General features: G+C 47.4%; 1 protein-coding gene across 33 annotated transcripts in view, besides 1 other annotated feature; it reads left to right on the forward strand.

Moving 5' to 3' along the window:
* The window catches only part of TENM2 (teneurin transmembrane protein 2), a 1,285,129-nt gene extending 1,262,312 nt beyond the window's left edge, over nucleotides 1-22,817 (forward strand). For all 33 annotated transcript variants that reach the window (XM_047417418.1, NM_001395460.1, XM_017009661.2 and 30 more), the window contains 4 exons: nucleotides 3,080-3,376; nucleotides 5,417-7,031; nucleotides 18,943-19,073; nucleotides 20,709-22,817. In XM_047417418.1, coding sequence (XP_047273374.1) covers nucleotides 3,080-3,376; nucleotides 5,417-7,031; nucleotides 18,943-19,073; nucleotides 20,709-21,470 — 2,805 coding nt within the window. In that variant the 3' untranslated portion in view covers nucleotides 21,471-22,817. The remainder of the gene's footprint in view (nucleotides 1-3,079; nucleotides 3,377-5,416; nucleotides 7,032-18,942; nucleotides 19,074-20,708) is intronic.
* Nucleotides 8,246-8,315: an enhancer, noted in NCBI's record as "active region_23587". NCBI's record gives its function as "activates an Ori minimal core promoter by ATAC-STARR-seq in GM12878 lymphoblastoid cells {active_cell/tissue: GM12878}" and the evidence as "EXISTENCE:reporter gene assay evidence [ECO:0000049][PMID:35858748]".
* Nucleotides 22,818-23,571: the final 754 nt, after the last annotated feature.

A 23,571-nucleotide genomic window follows, 5' to 3' on the forward strand; every position in this document is an offset into this window, starting at 1 on the left:
CACCTCCTGGGTTCAAACAATTCTCCTGCTCAGCCTTTTGGGTAGCTGGGATTATAGACACATGCTACCATGCTTGGCTAATTTTTTTTTTTTTTTTTTTTAGTAGACACAGGGTTTCACCATGTTGGCCAGGCTGGTCTCAAACTCCTGACCTCAGGTGATCTGCCAATCTCAGCCCCCTAAAATGTTGAAATTACAGACATGAGCCACACGCACCTGGCCTATGCATCCTCTTTTCTAATTGTCCTATAATAAATATTCTATCCTCTCTCTGAGATGACCTTATAGAAACAGCAATGGTTTGGAGAATCTGTAGTCCTGGGTTCAGATTCCACTTCTGCCACTTGTCTAGTTATGGGACTCCTGTAGACCTCAGTTGCTCTTATGTAAGATAGTTTCTATGTCATGAAAGTGAAAATGGGATCAGGTATGTAAAGTACCTAGCATAGCACCTGCCAAAGTATCAGGGGCTTGTATCAATTTAGATTTGTTTCCACCGCTAGTAACAGAGATTAGCAATAGCAAGGGTTTAAACAGGATTTACGCTTATTATTTTCCTATGATCTGAAAGGAGCTTAGGGAAAGCAATCCTTGGCTGTATGGATGAACACTGAAGACACCTAGATCAACAGAGATCTAGACTCTTTTTCTCTGGATAGGCCATCATCCTGGAGGTCTCCAGCCCCAAAGTCACCTCATAGTCACAAGGTAAATGCTGGAGCTCCAGCCATCACATACACATTTCACCCAGGAAAAGGAGGAAAGGGAAGAATTAAAGATTGCCTAGCTCTCAGCTGAGTCAATTTCCTTTAAGAATATTTCCCAGAAGACCAGCCAACAACAACCACTTACATCTTGTTGGCCACCCGTATCTCTGAAGGAAGCTGCGAAATGTGTTTCATTACCTGGGCACAAAGCTGTTTCCCAGAATGCAAGTGTCTGTGGTATTAGAATTATTCCTTGTCCCACCCCCTCACACCCCCAAAGCTGCAATGTGGAGCGTTCAAGGGCTGTGAAAATGCTTCACAGTCTGTTCATCATTTGACACATTTCAGGGCACTCAATGGACATACAATACAGGAAGCAGTAAAGCTGGTGAAGTGTATAAGAAGTTAACTGGTTAAAGTCTGAAGGCCTAAGTTCCAGACCAATCCAACCACTTCACTGCTGTGTGACCTTGAGCAAGTTTTGTAACCACTCTGTTTGAAGCTTTTTTTATCATTTGTCAAATGGTCTTTGTGAGCAACAACTCAAACAATGGATGCAAAATGCCTAACACAATGCCTGTATATATTCGTCCTCAGCATATATTAAAGTCATCATTACTATCAGCTGGGCGTGGTGGCTCACACCTGTAATCCTAGAACTTTGGGAGGACAAGGTGGGTGGATCACCTGAGGTCAGGAGTTCGAGACCAGCCTGGCCAACATGGTGAAACCTCGTCTCTACTAAAAATACAAAAATTAGCCCAGTATGATGGCACATGCCTCTAATCCCAACTACTCAGGAGGGAGGCTGAGGCAGGAGAATCACTTGAACCCGGGAGACAGAGGTTGCAGTGAGCTGAGATTGCACCACTGCACTCCAGCCTGGGCAACAGAGTGAGACTCTATCTCAAAAAAAAAAAAAAACTTATTATTACTATCATCACCACCATCACTACCATCATTATTACCAGTAAGTGCTGTTGAATTATTAGGGTAAAGTGAGGAGGTACCAGACATCTCTCGAGTCTCTTCCTTTCGCCTATTTACATCATCCCTTGCCTTCAGCAGCCACCCCAGGGATGTCTGGATTTGCAGTCAGTGAAGTTGTGAGAGCCTGGGCTGAGTCTGGTTCATTTCATTCACTTCCAGCCACCCACTCAGGGCTAGCTGAATCTCAGGAGCCCCTCTCCTTTGCCCCTCACCAGAGTCTAGTCTCCCAGCTCTGCCTTCTGGGATAGGCTTTCTTCTCTGATCAGATCAACTTCTAAATAAATATTAAATTATGTCTGATGTGTTTCCCTATTCCTTTCAAATCTAAGTAAATCAGTTCATCCCTTTGTTGGAAATCCCCTAGCCCTGCTGAGGCCTCCCCACTGATGTCTCACATTCTTGACAGTGACAAGATTTTTCTCTAGATATTAGAAGGAAAGAAGTTCACATAGGAATGAGGCTTCATATTCCCAAATCTTTGTAAAATATGGATTTCTAAGCCCTGTTCTCCACTCTTCTAGGTAACTTTACTTAAGATTTCATAAGAAATTATGGCACCTGTTCTTAAAGATCATTAGCTTCTCAGCTAATGATGTGCCAAAAAGAGTTCCAAGTGTGCAAATATGCAAACTCTCTTGCCCCCAGGGTGGCCAGGCAGCCCAGGCAAAACTCCAGGGTTCAAGTCTGTTGTATATTGCTGTATAATTTGCACACTGCACAATTTTCACCATTCACACTTTCCACGATCCTATGGCACCCTTTGTAATTGTGCAGTGCACAGCCTACCCAACTGCCCATCACAGCCATGCCCAGGTCAATCATCTCTGTCCATAAGCTGCCTTATTTTTATATTCTATTGCATATTGCACCATACAAATACTACCATTTTCTTTTCTTTGGTTTTTTTTTTTTTTTTTTTTAAGATAGAGTCTCACTCTGTCACCCAGGCTGGAGTGCATGGCACAATTTCAGCTCACTGCCATCTCCACCTCCCAGGTTCAAGTGATTCTCCTGCCTCAGCCTCCCAGTAGCTGGAACTACAGGTGCATGCCACCATGCCAGCTAATTTTTATATTTTTAGTACAGACGGGGTTTCACCATGTTGGCCAGGCTGGTCTTGAACTCCCGACCTCAGGTGATCCACCCACTTCAGCCTCCCACAGTGCTAGGATTACAGGCGTGAGCCACCACACCCGGCCAAATTTTGCCATTTTCTATCTGTGCCATGATAAGGAGCTTAGAAAGCACTACTCTAACTTTGGGGTTATTTCTTCCTCCAGTGAACACTTAAGCCCTGGCCATGCCAGCCATGTCCTCCACAGAAGCCTGAGCCGGCATGCCTGGGTGATGTCTTTCAAACAAGGCCTGTTGTGTTTTCCTAGGTCCATGGAAGAAATCTCTTGTCCATTGACTATGATCGAAATATTCGGACTGAAAAGATCTATGATGACCACCGGAAGTTCACCCTGAGGATCATTTATGACCAGGTGGGCCGCCCCTTCCTCTGGCTGCCCAGCAGCGGGCTGGCAGCTGTCAACGTGTCATACTTCTTCAATGGGCGCCTGGCTGGGCTTCAGCGTGGGGCCATGAGCGAGAGGACAGACATCGACAAGCAAGGCCGCATCGTGTCCCGCATGTTCGCTGACGGGAAAGTGTGGAGCTACTCCTACCTTGACAAGGTAGGTGAACATGCTGCCCTGACAGCAAGGGCTTTCTGTTATTTCTGTTATTCCGGCTTCTTTTTTTTTTTGAGACAGAGACTTGCTCTGTTGCCCAGGCTGGAGTGCAGTGGCATGATCTCGGCTCACTGCAACCTCTGCCTCCCAGGTTCAAGTAATTCTCCTGCCTGTGCCTCCTGGGTAGCTGTGACTACAGGCACATGTCACCACGCCCGGCTAATTTTGTATTTTTAGTAGAGATGGGTTTCCCCACATTGGCCAGGCTGGTCTCGAATTCCTGACCTCAGGTGATCGCCCACCTCAGCCTCCCAAAGTGCTGGGATTACAGGTATGAGTCACCGCACCTGACCATTTCTGCTGCTCTTGTAAGCTAGCCTGATATGTTTTGCCATGAGACATCTTAACATCTTTACTTCGACTCTACAAGGACTTCCCTCCTGCTCCCACCCTCACAGAGGGAAGAAAATCTGAAGGCAAATGTTATTCATAGCTCAGCACTATTACCATTGGGGTGGGGGGCGGGGGTGCTAGACGCTCAGTAATGGCAAAAAGGACGAATTGTCTGATTCTATTTCAAAAAAGAAAAAAGTACTGTTGAAGCGGACAGAATCATCCCACTGGCAGCGTGGCTCATCATTACTTATGAATTGGAAATGCAGTGATTCATTTCTGTCTTGCCCTAAATTAAGCCGTCAGGATGGGGAATTTTGCCTAAAATTCAAGCACACAGAGCAACCCTCTCCTATTTGCCCTGTTGGCTGAAACAGCCCATGAATTCTCTCTACATGATTCCCTGTGTCTGAAAGTGCCAAATTCAGGTCTTCATGCTTGAAAAAGGTCAGGTTGGAGTGGCGGTAAAAAAAAAAAAAAAAAAGGTCCCTTTGGGCACGTATCAAGACTTTTGAAGGCTGCCCTGGCCATGTAGTCATTAGACAGGGCTTGCTCAACCCGGGCCTCTCACCTAGACTCCCCTTGGTGCAGGTCCATTCCTTCCTTTCTCACCAACTCATTACAGCGGTGACTTGCAGACAAAGCTGTTACCCCTCTGCAAGACAGAACTGCTGTCCCCTTGGTCCTTCCTGAATGCTGTCCTTGTTATGCCTGAAACACAGGAATGATTGACCAGGGGAGCAGGAACCTCCCAATTGCCTCTAATTGAAGTCATTTTTTTCCCCCAAAGAATCAGTGATTCTAGGTTATTTCATCTTTGCAGTAGCTTCAAAATGCAGGATGTGGCTGGGCGCAATGGCTCACACCTGTAATCCCAGCTCTTTGGGAGGCCGAGGCGGGCTGATCACTTGAGGTCAGGAGTTCGACACCAGCCTGGCCAACATGGTGAAACCCCGTCTCTACTAAAAATATGAAAATTAGCCAGGCGTGGTGGTGCATGCCTGTAATTCCAGCTACTTGGGAGGCTGAGACAGGAGAATCGCTTGAACCCAGGAGGTAGAGTAGGTTGCAGTGAGCTGAGATTGCACCACTGCACTCCAGCCTGGGTGATGGAGTGAGACTCTGTTTCAAAAAAAAAAAAAAATGCAGGATGTGTTTTCTCTTTTTTAAATTTAATCAGGGTATGTGTTTCACACAGCTCCCCTGCTGGACCCAGTGGCAGTCATTTCTAAGCAATCTTGGGGTTCCTTGTTATTGAGCATGGAGGTAAACCTCATGCCTCTTACTTCAGCTGTCCAGGCCCTCAATTCTTAAAGTATCATCCAAGCAACATTGGCATTTGCAGGGAGTTTGTTACAAAATGCAGATTCTCAGGCCCCACCCCAGATCTACCAAATTAGACTCTGCCTTTTTACAAGATCCTGAGTATTTTGCATGCACATTAAATTTGGGAAGCACTGGTCTAGGCAACCACCATGATCCATCAAAATTGGCATGTCCAGTGAAATAAATCTGTTTAATCTGGTCTAAGCTTCCCATCTTTCATGACTTTTGAGTTGACATTTGGGGAAATGGACTAAATTCTGTCTGTTTGAATGCTTGGTCCTCAAAAGCCAACTGATATGTTCTGTTCCCCTTTCCTTTCTGCAGTCCATGGTCCTCCTGCTTCAGAGCCAACGTCAGTATATATTTGAGTATGACTCCTCTGACCGCCTCCTTGCCGTCACCATGCCCAGCGTGGCCCGGCACAGCATGTCCACACACACCTCCATCGGCTACATCCGTAATATTTACAACCCGCCTGAAAGCAATGCTTCGGTCATCTTTGACTACAGTGATGACGGCCGCATCCTGAAGACCTCCTTTTTGGGCACCGGACGCCAGGTGTTCTACAAGTATGGGAAACTCTCCAAGTTATCAGAGATTGTCTACGACAGTACCGCCGTCACCTTCGGGTATGACGAGACCACTGGTGTCTTGAAGATGGTCAACCTCCAAAGTGGGGGCTTCTCCTGCACCATCAGGTACCGGAAGATTGGCCCCCTGGTGGACAAGCAGATCTACAGGTTCTCCGAGGAAGGCATGGTCAATGCCAGGTTTGACTACACCTATCATGACAACAGCTTCCGCATCGCAAGCATCAAGCCCGTCATAAGTGAGACTCCCCTCCCCGTTGACCTCTACCGCTATGATGAGATTTCTGGCAAGGTGGAACACTTTGGTAAGTTTGGAGTCATCTATTATGACATCAACCAGATCATCACCACTGCCGTGATGACCCTCAGCAAACACTTCGACACCCATGGGCGGATCAAGGAGGTCCAGTATGAGATGTTCCGGTCCCTCATGTACTGGATGACGGTGCAATATGACAGCATGGGCAGGGTGATCAAGAGGGAGCTAAAACTGGGGCCCTATGCCAATACCACGAAGTACACCTATGACTACGATGGGGACGGGCAGCTCCAGAGCGTGGCCGTCAATGACCGCCCGACCTGGCGCTACAGCTATGACCTTAATGGGAATCTCCACTTACTGAACCCAGGCAACAGTGTGCGCCTCATGCCCTTGCGCTATGACCTCCGGGATCGGATAACCAGACTCGGGGATGTGCAGTACAAAATTGACGACGATGGCTATCTGTGCCAGAGAGGGTCTGACATCTTCGAATACAATTCCAAGGGCCTCCTAACAAGAGCCTACAACAAGGCCAGCGGGTGGAGTGTCCAGTACCGCTATGATGGCGTAGGACGGCGGGCTTCCTACAAGACCAACCTGGGCCACCACCTGCAGTACTTCTACTCTGACCTCCACAACCCGACGCGCATCACCCATGTCTACAATCACTCCAACTCGGAGATTACCTCACTGTACTACGACCTCCAGGGCCACCTCTTTGCCATGGAGAGCAGCAGTGGGGAGGAGTACTATGTTGCCTCTGATAACACAGGGACTCCTCTGGCTGTGTTCAGCATCAACGGCCTCATGATCAAACAGCTGCAGTACACGGCCTATGGGGAGATTTATTATGACTCCAACCCCGACTTCCAGATGGTCATTGGCTTCCATGGGGGACTCTATGACCCCCTGACCAAGCTGGTCCACTTCACTCAGCGTGATTATGATGTGCTGGCAGGACGATGGACCTCCCCAGACTATACCATGTGGAAAAACGTGGGCAAGGAGCCGGCCCCCTTTAACCTGTATATGTTCAAGAGCAACAATCCTCTCAGCAGTGAGCTAGATTTGAAGAACTACGTGACAGGTGAGGATTCTGCCACCAAAGGTGGGCAGTGGCTCCCTCCAGGGTACTTGTTGCTGTGGGGAACTTGGGAGGAAGGTCTCCCATCTTATGGTAGGAGAAGCCCATGGGCCATAAAGCCCAGGCAGTGCAGTTGGCAGCACTACAGAGTCTAGAAAAGTAGAGAGACGGCAGTACAGAGCAGTCATGAGGACTGTTTGAAGATGTCCCAACCACTTTCATGTCCAGTCAGTTGAAATAACTTTATAAGAGCCCTTCCTACCCCAACAGAGGAAAGCAGTAAGAAGCGGGGAGAGAATAGGGCTCTGGTGTCAGAAATACCTGGTTCAAATTCTCTCTCTTCTATTTATAAGCCAAAGGACCTTGGACTAGTTGTTCAATCTCTCTGAACTATAGTTTCCTTCCCTGTGAAGGGCACTGATAAAACCATCCTACAGAGTGATCATGACAAGTAAATGAACACAGCTGGGCATGGTGGCTCATGCCACCCACGTAATCCCAGCACTTTGAGAGGCTGAGGCAGATGGATCCCTTGAGGTCAGGAGTTCAAGATCAGCCTGGCCAAGATGGTGAAACACCATCTCTACTAAAAATACAAAAATTAGCCAGGTGTGGTGGTACATGCCTGTAGGCCCAGCTACTCAGGAGGCTGAGCCAAGAAAATCACTTGAACTCAGGAAAGCAGAGGTTGCAGTGAGTTGAGATCATGCCACTGCACTCCACCTAGCCTAGGTGACAGAGCAAGACCCTGTCTCAAAAAAAAAAAAAAAAAGTAAATGAACTTGTGTAGTTATAGTCTAGTGGATGATCATGAAATGGTATCTGCTTGTGTTATTAACATTGTCATTACTAGAGAAGCAATGAGTGAGCGTAAGTATCGAGATGACTGTAACCCAGTTCCTGACCTCCAGAGGCTCATCTGGTGAGAGACATATTCAAATAACCAACGATAATGCAAAGTAGAATTAAGTCTTTGCTACCATATAGGTGTCTGTTCAGTTGTTTATCAAAACGCATTTATAAAGTGGCACTGTGCTAAGTTCTGGGGATTCAATGGTGAATAAGACAAATACCGTTCTCTCAAGGTGTGTGTGTGTGTGTGTGTGTGTGTGTGCAGATTAATTCAGATTTTCAAGATTGGCATAATACAGAAGGGCTCATGTCAAAATGGGCCTGAAGAATTCATGGGACCTTGGCCGGCAGAAGTGAGCTCAAGGCTGAAGGAAGGCTATGAACAAATGTCATAAGGACATAGGAAGTTTGGAGAATAGCATGAAAGGAGGGGCCAAGAAAGGCAGATTATCTACTTCTCTGTGATAAGTGAGAAATGGGTGAAATGAATTAGCTGCGTGTGGTGGCATATGCCTGTGGTCCAAACTACCCAGGGGCCTAAGTAGGGAGAATCTCTTGAGCTCAGGAGTTGGAGGCTAGAGTGAGCTATGATCATGACACTGCACTCCAGCCTGCGCACAGAGTGAGAACCCATCTCACAAAAAGAAATGAAAGGAAAAGAAAAGAAAAAGAAATTGGTGAAATAAGAGTCTCTCTCCATCCATCCATTCACCCATTCAACAAATATTTGTATAGTATTTAAATTGTACTAAATACTAGAGACACAATGGGAGGAAAGATAAAGTCCCTGTCCTCAGGGAAATGAGCAAGGAAATCAGGATGGCTGGATGGTTGGGTGGATGGCTGGATGGATGGCTGACTGGATGGCTGGCTGGCTGGATGAGTGGATGGATGGATGGATGGATGGATGGATGGATGGATGGATGGATGGATGGATGGATGGATGGATGGGTAAATAGATGGATAAATTGATGGATGGGTAGGTGGATGGGTGGGTGAATGGATGGATGGGTGTGTGGATGGGAGGATGAATGGATAGATGGATGGTTGGTAGGTAGGTAGGTAGAGAGAAGGGGAGAGAGAGAGTGAGATCCAAAGAGACCAGGGCCCCAAAGGGCTAACTTTCAGCAAGCAGGCTGGGGCCATCTCACCTGTTTATGCTTTGTATAGAGAAACAATAATGAGGACCCAAGACCAGAACCCCAAGTTCCAGAAAACTCACAGCTCTTGGTCATGGGCCAAGGAGGCATCGACACTCAGGTGACTGAGGCCACTTGTCCATCCCCAAGGCAGGAATGGAAGCAGCATCTACCTGGAGCACAGTGCTGCCATCTAAGCCCCATGCTGCAGAAATAAACAAACATCCTTAAAGATCAACTGTGGCCATGCATTGCTTCAGTGACAAGCCCCGGACCTTTGGAAGTCGAACCCAGAATCCCCAAGCCCCAGAAGCATCTGGGACCTTTCGGACCCGGAAGTTATGGCCAAGCGACCTAGGCTAACATCTGTAAACCCTCCTGTCCTCCTCCCCCGTGCCTCATCGAGGCCCTGCCAGGGCTTCCCCGCTTACCCCATGCTTAGCATAACTTTTATCCCCGAAATCACTGCAGCTGCAAATTAAAATAAGTCTCAAGAAAACACACATATATAGTATTAATATTAGGTAATGATACATGATATAAAGATGAAAAAATAGGAAGAGGACATGGAGAGCGATGAGAAGTGTCTCCTTTATGGAGGGGATCACGGACGGCCTTTCTGAGCAGGTAGTGTTGATCAGACATTTATGAAGTGCAGGGAGAGAGGAGGAGTGTTCCAGAGACAGGAAACTGTGAATGGGGAGGTTGACTAGGCCTACCTTAGCCATAGGAGAGAATCCTGCCCCACACAGAATGTCCCTTCCAGAAGCCTGGTTGGTATCAGACACCTTGGGAATGAATCAGCCAGAGAGGCAATAAAGAGAAACCCACAGTGTGGGCTGAACAGACATGTCCCGCTGCCAAGACGCAAACAAAATCATTTCACAGGGCACAGTCAGCCTCACTGACCCCCTCAGCTACTTACCTGGCTCTCCAGAAAAGGCCAAAAAATAATTAGCAGGGTTTTCTGAATAGCAATACTGCTTTTCTCATTCCGGTGTTTCATGGAGACTCAATAAATGGGAATCAAATCAAGTTGAACTAAGTCCAACGAAATTGAATCCAGAAACCATTAGAGAGTCTAAAATAAAGGGTGGTGTCAGAGAAGCGGCGTGCACAGGGTGGATGTCTTCAGTGGGAGCCAAGGGAGAGAAGGAGCCGGACCAGGCACAGCCCACGCTCGGGCAGAGACCTGGGAGTGGGGATCCAAGTGGAGAACACCAAATCATTCTCTGCTGTTCACATTTGGCTCATCTGTAAACCCCATCTAAATTAGTCTTAATTTGCCACTTAGGAGACTAGCAGAGTGGCTGAACTCACTGCTCACAATGTAAGCAGAAGAGGTAATTAAGATGTAGTCGGGAGGAACACAAAGAACAGAACCTTTTCTCTCCAGTACCCAGTAGCAGCAAAAGAATGGTGGCTGTTTGGAGACAGAACTCTCTGAATGCAAGTGGCAGCTCCTGAAGCCAGAGAAGGGTCTATTTGTTCTGCCCAAGAATGTGAGGACAAAGGAAAGCAACCCAGAGTACTGACTGGGTAGGAGCTCAGAGACATCTGGGCAGGAACACAAATTAGCCTCCAGGAGCAGGCGGAGGGGGCAAGAAGTGGTTCCTTCTCACTTACAGGCTGCAAAGCAGCACTCTTTTGAACAGTTACTTTTTAAGGTAATATATGGATGATTGACATACCTGTGATGAAAAGATATGAGAAGAAAGAGTGTAAAAGAAAGACTGGGCCAGGCATGGTGGCTTAGGCCTGTAATACCAGCACTTTGGGAGGCCAAGGCAAGAGTATCACTTCAGTCTAGGAGTTTGAGACCAGCCTGGGCAATGTAGAGAGATCCCATCTCTACCAAAAATTTAAAAGTTAGCCAAGTGTAGTGGTGCACACCCGTGGTCCCAGCTGCTTGGGAGGCTGAGGCAAAAGGATTGCTTGAGCCCAGGAGATTGAGGTTGCAATAAGCTGTGATTGTGCCATGGCACTCTTTTTTGAGACCCTGTCTCAAAAAAAAAAAAAAAAAGACTGGGAGACTACCTCCCAACAACCTGCAATGGCCTAGACTTTTCCAATTTTAGCATCCCAGGAAACTCTTCCGTCTTGGACACACTGGGATCTATACCCTGCCCCCAGCTCTGCCCTATTCTGAGGCCAGTTCTCTCTCATATTAGAACCTGAGTCCATCTCAAGACACCACTTCTTGGCCAGGCGCGGTGACTCACACCTGTAATCCCAGCACTTTGGGAGGCCGAGGCGGGTGGATCACCTGAAGCCAGTAGTTTGAGACCAGCCTGAGTAACATGGTGAAACCCCGTCTCTACTAAAAATACAAAAAAAATTAGCCAGGCATCGTGGCAGGCACCTGTAATCCCAGCTACTTGGGAGGCTGAGGCAAGAGAATCGCTTTAACTTGGGAGGCAGAGATTGCAGTGAGCTGAGATCGCACCATTGCACTCCAGTCTGAGAAACAAGAGCGAAACTCAGTCTCAAAAAAAAAAAACAAAAAAGAAAAGAAAAGAGGCACTACTTCTAACCTTGCCAATCACTTGCTGTGTGACTTAGACAAATATCTCAACCCTTTAGAGCCACAGTATTTTTTGTTTGTTTGTTTTGTTTTGTTTTTTTGAGACAGAGTCTTGCTCTGTCGCCCAGGCTGGAGTGCAGTGGCATGATCTTGGCTCACTGCAACCTCTGCCTCCCGGGTTCAAGCGATTCTCCTGCCTCAGCCTCCCGAGTAGCTGGGACTACAGGCATGTGCAACCACGCCCAGCTAATTTTTTTGTATTTTTAGTAGAGATGGGGTTTCACTGTGTTAGCCAGGATGTTCTCAATCTCCTGATCTTGTGATCGGCCTGCCTCGGCCTCCCAAAGTGCTGGGATTACAGGCGTGAGCCACCGCGCCTGGCAGAGCCACAATTTCTTCATCAGCAAAATAGTAATGATAATAATAGCAGTCACCTTATGGGGTCTTGAAAACTAAATGCATCATGACATGTAAAGTGCCTAGCACAGAGCAAAGGCTAATAAAAGCACAGAGCAAAAAAAGCTAATAAATGCATTCATTATTTTATTTTTTTTTTTTTTGAGACAGAGTCTCACTCTGTCGCCCAGGCTGGAGTGCAGTGGTACGATCTTGGCTCACTGCAAGCTCCGCCTCACGGGTTCACACCATTCTCCTGCCTCAGCCCGCGGAGTAGCTGGAACTACAGGCGCCCGCCACCACGCCCGGCTAATTGTTTGTATTTTTAGTAGAGACGGGGTTTCACCGTGTTAGCCAGGATGGTCTCGATCTCCTGACCTTGTGATTCGCCCGCCTCGGCCTCCCAAAGTGCTGGGATTACAGGCGTGAGCCACCGCGCCTGGCTACGCACTCATTATTTATAAGCAGCTATGGACTTGGAGGTGGGGAGTTCAAAGATGAAGAGTGAGGACACTGCCTTTGTATTATTTTCTGAGGTATGTGGAGAACGGTCTCCCGATCCACCTTGAAATAGATTCCAACCCTGCTCTGAATGGCATTGCTTTAGCAAAGCCCCAGATAAAATTTGAGTTCAGTGACCCTCCTAGACGTGGCCCATGATGATGCATATATCCCCTATCCCTTTCTCCCTGTTGGGTCTTTGGCTACGAACCCCAGGCACACTTTAGCTTAAAGTCAGATTTTGTAAAGTTTAATTTACCTAAGTGAGGAGGAAGACACAACCTCCTTCTCACATCATCCTCTTCTCATATTTACACTTAACACCTGAAGGTGCTGCACTGACAGCGTGTTCAGAGGGAGAACGCGCTTTGGCGGTGGATAATCACACGCTGTGAAGAACGTGAGAAGAGGAGAGTCATGAGCTATTAGGCGGTGCCACAGTGCCAGCTCCTGCCCAAGCAATTCCCTCTAGACAGACTGTTTAGGGAGGCTGTTACCAGATAACACCAATTACTTCTAAAGGAGGAGGGGTGTTGTGTTGTCTCAGAAATGCCTTCCGCAGCATGGAGCGGAGTCACTAGAATAAACATTTCCAAAGGGATTGAGGCTCAGAAACCAGCCATGTTAGAAAATTTAAAGAAGAGGAAAGAGGGAAAGGGGAGGGAGAGGAAGAGGAAGAAGGGGAGGAAGAGGAAGAAGGGGAGGAAGAGGAAGAGGAAGAAGGGGAGGAAGAGGAAGAAAGGGAGGAAGAGGAAGAATAGAAAGAAAAGTAAGAGGAAGGAAGAAGAAGAGAAAGAAGAACTACAAGAACTAGGACATAAGGATTGCTGTTCATGGGAATGGCCATTGAAATTCCTGGTCACAGAGGCAGGAGGGCTCTTAACATCACTTTCACCTCCTCAAGGGATCCTGAGCTAGGGAGAGAGAGATCCCTGGAGGAAAAAGATCCCAATGAGGAGAGTCTTCTAAAGACAAGGCCTTCTCAGCCAGTTGCGGTGGCTTACGCCTGTAATCCCAGCACTTTGGGAGGCTGAGGCAGGTGGATCACCTGAGGTCAGGAGTTCAAGACCAGCCTGGCCAACATAGCAAAACTCCTTCTCTACTAAAAATACAAAAATTAGCGGGGCATGGTGGTGCGTGCCTGTGATCCCAGCTACTAGAGAAGCTGAGGCAGGAGAATCTCTTGAACCTGGGAGGCAGAGGTTGCAGTGAGACGAGGTCACACCACTGCACTCCAGCCTGGGTGACAGAGCAAGACGCTGTCTCAAAAAAAAAAAAGAAAGAAAGAAAGAAAAGAAAAAAGGACAAGGACTTCTCTTGCTTTTCTTGGAATTCCCTACATACCCTATCCCTGGTGAAAGATGGGACGATTTGATGTGGTATACAGATGAAGTATTAAGTAACAAAAAAACACAGATGGGGAGAGATAGTCCCTTTTCAATGCTCTCTTAATTCTTTCAATTCAGAGGAGAAAGTCTCACTTGATGCTGGTATGTATTTACACCTCATTAACACTTCTTTTTTTTTCTTTTTTTCCTTGAGACAGAGTCTCCCTCTGTCACCCAGGCTGGAGTGCAGTGGCACGGTCTTGGCTCACTGCAACCTCCACCTCCTGGTTTCAAGCAATTCTCCTGTATCAGCCTCCTGAGGAGCTGGGACTACAGGTGCCCACCACCAAGCTGAGCTAATTTTTTTGTATATCTTTAGTAGAGACGGGCTTTCACCATATTGATCAAGCTGGTCTCGAACTCCTGACCTCAGGTGATCCACCCACCTCAGCCTCCCAAGTGCTGGGATTACAGGCATGAGCCACCACGCCTGGCCTCATTAACAGTTCTAATCTCCCTTTTCAACAGAGAGAGCAGGTCTAAGTCTCCCTCAGTGGCAGGTAACAAAATCAAGTACTCTAATTTAATTGCTTGACTTTGTTTTCTTTGTTTTAATTTTACAGTTATTTTCTGTTTACGCCAAGTAAGCCTACTTTCCCATTCATGGTAGTGACATAAAATTTATTTTTTATTTATTTATTTTATTTTATTTTTTGAGACGAAGTCTCACTCTGTCTCCCAGGCTGGAGTGCAGTGGCATACTCTCGGCTCACTGCAACCTCCACCTCCCAGGTTCAAGCAGTTTTCCTGCCTCGGCCTCCTGAGTAGCTGGGATTACAGGCAGGCGCCACCATGCCATGCTAATTTTTGTATTTTTAGTACAGACACGGTTTCACCATGTTGGTCAGGCTGGTCTCGAACTCCTGACCTCGTGATCTGCCCGCCTCGGCCTCCCAAAGTGCTAGGATTACAGGCGTGAGCCACCGCGCCTGGCTAGAATTTATTTTTTTAATGGATTTACCTAAATGGAAAGGCAAATTTATTTTTTAATCAGTAAATAAATAATAATACAAGTGATACCTAGATATGGCAAATATATATATATGTCTATATGTATATATATGTGTATATATATGTATATATATTTTTAGCAACAGGTGGCCATGAATATTCAAAGTTGAGAAACCAGTGCTCTCCACCCAGGACCTACCTGGTACATAGTAGATGCTCTGTAAATATATGGCTGTTGCCAGATTAAAGCCAGGCTTCTCTCTGCTTGATATTAACGTACTTTTTAAGGGAATTTCAAACTTGTATTCTTTTTTTTTTTTTTTTGAGACGGAGTCTTGCTCTGTTGCCCAAGCTGAAGTGCAATGGCACAATCTCAGCTCACTGCAGCCTCCACCTCCCGGGTTCAAGTGATTCTCCTGCCCCAGCCTCCTGAGTAGCTGGGATTACAGCTGCGTGCACCACGCCCGGCTATTTTTTGTGTTTTTAGTCGAGACGAGGTTTCACCATATTGGCCAGGCTGGTCTTGAACTCCTGACCGCAGGTGATCCACCCGCCTCGGCCTCCCAAAATGCTGGGATTGCAGGCATGAGCCACCTCGCCCGGCCTCAAACCTGTTTCTTAAATGGACTATTGTTATGTGTGTAGATGCCAAGTCTTTCAATGACTAGTCTGTGCCCAAGGAAGGTGGATAGATCAAAGCTCCCAGATTCCTTCTCCTTAGAGGGTTCTTATATATCCATATTTTTGGCAGCAATGTCAACGTTAAATACCTCACAGTAGTCCCAGGGCAGAAGGTAGTTATGCCTGAGCCCCTTCAGAAGTGTGTTCTTAGGCACAGACAGATCCACTGTCACACTACTACTAGTCAGGGTAGCTCTTGCCACATATGTCCTGTGCTCATTCATTCATTCATTCTATAGATACTTACGGAGCACCTATTTTGTGCCAGGCATTGTTGTAGGGCCTAGGGAGACATCAATGAAGAAAACAGGTTTTTAAACTCCCCATGCTGGTGGAGCTTGCCTTCACCAGGCAAGCTGGAGTGAAAGAGACCATAAATACAATAAATGTGGAAATGACACAGCATGTTAGAAGAATGTGACTGTTGTTTTGGGGGGACATGAGCAAGGTAAGGGGACTAGGGATTGCAAGAGGTGGGGATGGGGGGTGGCAGTTGGGGTTGGCCTTACCGGGCAGGCAGAGTCTGAGCAAGACTGAAAAGAGGAGGGAGAGCAAGAGAGGCAGAGGATACGTTTAGGGAAAAGCCCGCTGGGCAGAGGGCCTACCAACATAAAGGTGGTGAGATGAGTGCATCCCTGGCATATTCAAAGAACAGCACAGAGGCAGGAGCGAGGGAGAGCATGGGAGATGTGGTCAGACAGGTCGTGGAGAGGGCCCTTCCAGGCCATTAGAAGGACTTTGGCTTTTTCAATGAAAGAAGTGGGGAGACCCTGGGGTGCTCTGAACTTCTCAGGAATGTCATGGGCAGCTCCTGATTTTTTTTTTTTTTTTTTTGTGACGGAGTCTCACTCTGTTGCCAGGCTGGAGTGCAGTAGCACGATCTCTGCTCACTGCAACCTCTGCCTCCCGGGTTCAAGCGATTCTCCTGCCTCAGCCTCCCAGGTAGCTGGGATTACAGGCACCCGCCACCACGCCCAGCTAATTTTTGTATTTTTAGTAGAGACGGAGTTTCACCATGTTGGACAGTCTGGTCTCAACCTCCTGACCTGGTGATCCGCCTGCCTTGGCCTCCCAAAGTGTTGGAATTACAGGCGTGAGCCACCGTGCCCGGCCAGCTCCTGATTGAAAGGCTCACTCAGGTTGCTGTGCTGATAAGGAATGTGGGGTGCAGAGCGGAAGCATGGAGGCCAGTTAGACATCCCTCGGGAGGTGCTGAACTGAGTAGAGGCAGTGGAAGTGGCGAGAGGAGACACATACTCAGGACCTATTGTGAAAGTAAAAGTAAAGGATTTAGCTGCATGACCCGGCAATTCCACACCTACACATACACACAAGAAAACGGAAAACAGGCTTTCAAACAAAACTTTGTGCAGGAATGTTTATAGCAGCATTATTCATAATAGTAAAAAAGTGGAAACAGGCCGGGTGCAGTGGCTCATGCCTGTAATCCCAGCACTTTGGGAGGCCGAGGCGGGCAGATCACGAGGTCAAGATATGGAGACCATCCTGGCTAACATGGTGAAACCCTGTCTCTACTAAAAATACAAAAAATTAGCCGGGTGTGGTGGCATGCACCTGTAGTCCCAGCTACTCGGGAGGCTGAGGCAAGGGAATCACTTGAACCCAGGAGGCGGAGGTTGCAGTGAGCCGAAATCGCGCCACTGCACTCCAGCCTGGGTGACAGAGCAAGGCTCAGTCTCAAAAAAAAACCAAAAAGTGGAAACAACCCAAATATGTATCAACTGGTAAATGGATAAACAAAGCACACTGCATGCTCCACAATGGATGAAACTTAGAACCTTAAAAACATCATGCTGAGTGAAAGAAGCCAGACACAAAAGGCCATGTATCATGGGATTCCATTCATGTCAAATGTCCAAAACAGGTAAACCCATACAGACAGAAAGCAGTTTGTGGGAGGGGTAATGCAGAGTGACTACTAATGGGTATGAGGGGCTTTGGGAGGTGATGAAAATGTTCTGAAATTAGTAATGATGGTTGCATAACATTGTGAATGTACTGGAAACCACTGAATTGTGCACTTTCAAATGGTGAATTTTATATGAGTTTTACATTTTTTTTTTTAAAGGGAAATGATTAGGCCAGGCACAGTGGCTCATACCTGTAATCCTAGCACTTTGGGAGGCCAAGGTGGAAGGATCACCTGAGGTTAGGAGTTGGAGACCAGCCTGGCTAACATGGCAAAGCCCCGCCTCTACTAATAATAATACAAAAATGAGCCAGGCGTGGTGGCGGGCACCTGTAATCCCAGCTACTCAGGAGGCTGAGTGAGTGTTTCAAGGCACGGACATCCAGGAATCTCTATTGATCAGTGTGGAAGGAGTCTTTTTCTAAGGACCTAGACCATTCAGCAGAGGGCAGGACACTTGGGGCAGGTGGCATAATTCCCAATGCAAGGACTTGATGTTGGCCTGTGTGGCAGGTGGTCTTACTCTGGGCAGTCAGTACCCTTTCTTGGTTTCTCTTTAAAGAGTAGGAAGGCTGGGCCGGGCACGGTGGCTCATGCCTGTAATCCCAGCACTTTGGGAGGCTGAGGAGGGCGGATCACCTGAGGTCGGGAGTTCGAAACCAGCCTGACCAACATGGAGAAACCCTGTCTCTACTGAAAAATACAAAATTAGCCAGGTGTGGTGGCGCATGCCTGTAATCCCAGCTACTTGGGAGGCTGAGGCAGGAGAATTGCTTGAACCTGGGAGGCGGAGTTTGCAGTGAGCTGAGATTGCGCCACCGCACTCCAGCCTGGGCAACAGAGCAAGACTCCATCTCAAAAAAAAAGAGAGTAGGAAGGCTGGAGAAAGCCTCTCATGGTCCAGAGGACTCTGCTTTCCATCTGTGTCCAGCTCTTGGAAACCCCTTTCCATAGTGAGCCAGCCTCAGTGCAGTGGCCCCAGTCCAAAAGGCCTGCACAACAGTAAGAATCATCACTTATCCCTCCAGTCCATCCTGTATATCCAGCCTCTAAACACACTGCGTGGCCTGTGATAGATGCTCCCTTAAACACTTGCTAAATAAAGGAGTTGATATTTATTGAGCAGTTAATGTGCCAGGCACTGCGAAAAGCCTTTTATGTGGATTTTCTCCTTTGATCCTCATAACAACCCAATGAGACCGACACAATTATTATCCCAATTCATATCTGAGGAACCTAAGGCTCAGAGTGGGGCTGGGACTTGCCCAAGGTCACACAGCCAGGGGATTCGAAGCTAGATCTGTCTTACTTGAGCAAGGGTCTTCTTAATCACCACATGGTGGTTATCAACTGACCAAGTTTGATATCTGCTTCCTAAAACCCATGTATGGAAGCCCTGGGTCTGGACTCAGGAGACAGTCATAAGCTCTTCCTCCCTCCCCTTTGGGCCCTACACCCAACCACCCATTTTATTTTGTTCTCTCTTTAAGCTCTGCTGCTGCTCTCCATCCATCATGATTTCAGAAACCTTTATTTTTGTTTTCCACCATAGATGTGAAAAGCTGGCTTGTGATGTTTGGATTTCAGCTTAGCAACATCATTCCTGGCTTCCCGAGAGCCAAAATGTATTTCGTGCCTCCTCCCTATGAATTGTCAGAGAGTCAAGCAAGTGAGAATGGACAGGTAAGCAGAGGTTCCTGCCAAGAATCCAAATGATTGTCATCATTCCCTTTTGCAAACAGAACCTCATGGGAGCCAGGGGCATGTCAGCGCAGGAAAACATTGGAGCTGGGTATAAAAGGTGCAGGACACATTGAGACTTCCCAGGAAAGCGAATGTCAGTGCTGTCGCCTGTCTGGCACAGCACATATTTCTTCCCAACTTCGATTATTGCCTTAATTGTGGTATCATTATCTGTTCAGTAGAATACCTTTGAGTCACTCCTTGATTAACAACAGCACAGAGAAATCTAGCAGCAACCTACCATCTGCACTGCCTATAAGATCATAACCCTTTCAGCTTTTATGGGATGTCATAAAACTGTGGTTTGCAGTTTCTGTCCCATTAAAGAACATTTTTATGCCCCACATAAAACCTCGGCGCTTTATGGCCAAGCATATACAGATTGAGTTTTCAGAACATAATTTGTGCTTGGGTCTTTCTGCGATGACCGAGGGGTGGTCAGTTTCCATCTGGGTGCAGCTGAGACCTCTGCTACAATCAGATGGGAGGCGTTCAGATAACCCCTGCTACAGAACCGGCGCTCAGCACTATCAAAGTCTGAAAGGTCTCAGCTGCTCTGAATAATTGTCCAGATTGTGTAACTATAGAGAGGCAAGGAGGAGCTGCTGGGTAATTGAGAACAGCGTTCACTCAGTCCTGCCCCTTGGGGACCACTCAGTGGATGAATAGCCATCATTTCTCTCATTTATCTAAGTGCCGTTACCTCCCAAACGCAGCCTCTCCCATTATCCCAGCCTGTCCCCCAACCACCAATTGAGACAAGTTGTAATTTGCGAGTGGAGAACTCAAGGCCAAGGAGATAATGGTGATTTCATCCCCTGCAGAACCAGGGCGAGGATCCAAAACAACTGCCTCAAAGCCAGGGGATATTCCCTCTGGCCCTCAAAGCCTGACTCTCTCAGCCTGGTGCTTCTCAAATGTTCATATGCACACAGATCACCCAAGGCATCTTGTTCACACGTAGCCTCTGACTCAGTAGTTCTGGAGTGAGGCCTGAGATTCTGCTTTTTGAACAGGGCAGGTCCCAGTGATTCCTCTGCTGCTGGCTATACTTTGAGTGGCAAGGTCTTAACCCAAGGAAGTTAATGAATATCCAAGTCATTGGCCTCCAGGAAATCTAGCTTACAGTGGTGGGGTTCGAGGCTGTTCAAATCAACATCCTGCCCTTCGCATCAGGACATTCCTGGGTCTAAAGCGGGCAAGGCAGTTGCCAACCATCAGAGTACAGAACAGGGCACTTCCCGAGTGGTGGCATGACCCGGTAAGTGTGTAGGTCCAGGTGCCCATGCCAGCAAAGGGTGAACCTCCTTTACCATTTTTTTAGTTAGTGGCAATTGCAAGATGGACAGACCACACCATCAGAGCATTAGTAATCAACCAGCCATCCATAGTTCAGAGCACTGGTAATCAACCAGCCAACCATAGTTCCAAAAGGTAGGACTCCCAACAGCTCAGATCTGGATAGACCCAACACTAGTTCTTGCAGGAGAGTTCCAAGCCTTTCTCTTTGTGACTCTTTTTGAGAGAGCTGCCCAGCTCATCTTCTCAGCTTTCTCTGTTTTCTTATCCCCACAGCTCATTACAGGTGTCCAACAGACAACAGAGAGACATAACCAGGCCTTCATGGCTCTGGAAGGACAGGTCATTACTAAAAAGCTCCACGCCAGCATCCGAGAGAAAGCAGGTCACTGGTTTGCCACCACCACGCCCATCATTGGCAAAGGCATCATGTTTGCCATCAAAGAAGGGCGGGTGACCACGGGCGTGTCCAGCATCGCCAGCGAAGATAGCCGCAAGGTGGCATCTGTGCTGAACAACGCCTACTACCTGGACAAGATGCACTACAGCATCGAGGGCAAGGACACCCACTACTTTGTGAAGATTGGCTCAGCCGATGGCGACCTGGTCACACTAGGCACCACCATCGGCCGCAAGGTGCTAGAGAGCGGGGTGAACGTGACCGTGTCCCAGCCCACGCTGCTGGTCAACGGCAGGACTCGAAGGTTCACGAACATTGAGTTCCAGTACTCCACGCTGCTGCTCAGCATCCGCTATGGCCTCACCCCCGACACCCTGGACGAAGAGAAGGCCCGCGTCCTGGACCAGGCGAGACAGAGGGCCCTGGGCACGGCCTGGGCCAAGGAGCAGCAGAAAGCCAGGGACGGGAGAGAGGGGAGCCGCCTGTGGACTGAGGGCGAGAAGCAGCAGCTTCTGAGCACCGGGCGCGTGCAAGGGTACGAGGGATATTACGTGCTTCCCGTGGAGCAATACCCAGAGCTTGCAGACAGTAGCAGCAACATCCAGTTTTTAAGACAGAATGAGATGGGAAAGAGGTAACAAAATAATCTGCTGCCATTCCTTGTCTGAATGGCTCAGCAGGAGTAACTGTTATCTCCTCTCCTAAGGAGATGAAGACCTAACAGGGGCACTGCGGCTGGGCTGCTTTAGGAGACCAAGTGGCAAGAAAGCTCACATTTTTTGAGTTCAAATGCTACTGTCCAAGCGAGAAGTCCCTCATCCTGAAGTAGACTAAAGCCCGGCTGAAAATTCCGAGGAAAACAAAACAAACGAATGAATGAACAGACACACACAATGTTCCAAGTTCCCCTAAAATATGACCCACTTGTTCTGGGTCTACGCAGAAAAGAGACGCAAAGTGTCCAAAAGGAACAAAAGAACAAAAACGAATAAGCAAAGAAGAAAACAAACAAAAACAAAACAAAACAAACACACGGACCAATAAACAAAGAAGCGAAGATAAGAAAGAAGGCCTCATATCCAATTACCTCACTCATTCACATGTGAGCGACACGCAGACATCCGCGAGGGCCAGCGTCACCAGACCAGCTGCGGGACAAACCACTCAGACTGCTTGTAGGACAAATACTTCTGACATTTTCGTTTAAGCAAATACAGGTGCATTTAAAACACGACTTTGGGGGTGATTTGTGTGTAGCGCCTGGGGAGGGGGGATAAAAGAGGAGGAGTGAGCACTGGAAATACTTTTTAAAGAAAAAAAAACATGAGGGAATAAAAGAAATTCCTATCAAAAATCAAAGTGAAATAATACCATCCAGCACTTAACTCTCAGGTCCCAACTAAGTCTGGCCTGAGCTAATTTATTTGAGCGCAGAGTGTAAAATTTAATTCAAAATGGTGGCTATAATCACTACAGATAAATTTCATACTCTTTTGTCTTTGGAGATTCCATTGTGGACAGTAATACGCAGTTACAGGGTGTAGTCTGTTTAGATTCCGTAGTTCGTGGGTATCAGTTTCGGTAGAGGTGCAGCATCGTGACACTTTTGCTAACAGGTACCACTTCTGATCACCCTGTACATACATGAGCCGAAAGGCACAATCACTGTTTCAGATTTAAAATTATTAGTGTGTTTGTTTGGTCCAGAAACTGAGACAATCACATGACAGTCACCACGAGGAGAGAAAATTTAAAAAATAAAAATAAAAACAAAAAAAATTTTAAAAATTAAAAAAACAAAAATAAAGTCTAATAAGAACTTTGGTACAGGAACTTTTTTGTAATATACATGTATGAATTGTTCATCGAGTTTTTATATTAATTTTAATTTGCTGCTAAGCAAAGACTAGGGACAGGCAAAGATAATTTATGGCAAAGTGTTTAAATTGTTTATACATAAATAAAGTCTCTAAAACTCCTGTGGACACTGGTCTTGTGTGGAAATGATTTGAGATGAGAAAAAGGCAAGCGTTACTGGAGAAAAAGAGGAGCTGCCCAAACGTGTGGAGGCTGAGCTGGTATTTTGAACACCTGGGGGAGCTTTTTTCTTTTCTTTTTTTTTTTTTTGTGAGACAGAGTCTCACTCTGTTGCCCAGGCTGGAGTGCAATGGCATGATCTCGGCTCACTGCAACCTCCACCTCCTGGGTTCAAGCAATTCTCCTGCCTCAGCCTCCCGAGTAGCTGGGATTACAGGTGCACCACCACACCTGGCTAATTTTTGTATTTTTAGTAGAGCCAGGGTTTCACCATGTTGGCCAGGCTGGTCTCGAACTCCCGACCTCAGGTGATCCACCTGCCTCAATCTCCCAAAGTGCTGGGATTACAGGCGTGAGCCACGGTGCCCTGCCTGGAGGAGCTTTTGTTAGAGGTATCTTAGTGCTCCCCAATTCTAGAGCTAACTCTGCCTGCATCTGCAGCCTTTTCTCTGCATGGAGCAGAGGTGGACAGTCTGCATGTGGTGTGGGTGGGCAGTGAGGACCCTCAGAGCCTCCCCAAGCATGGACAGATCCCTCTAGCCTTCCTGGGACATTCAGGCTCCTCCCTGCAACCACATTCTAGTTCTGAGAGATGCTGGCAGAAATTAAAGGGGAGCATTCACTACACCGGGAGACGCGTGCACGCGCATGTGTGTGTGTGTGTGCTTTCATATTTCTTTCCAGACTACATCAACTTACCCC

Source organism: Homo sapiens, chromosome 5 (assembly GCF_000001405.40).
Source record: "Homo sapiens chromosome 5, GRCh38.p14 Primary Assembly".
NCBI classification, from domain to species: Eukaryota; Metazoa; Chordata; class Mammalia; order Primates; family Hominidae; genus Homo; species Homo sapiens.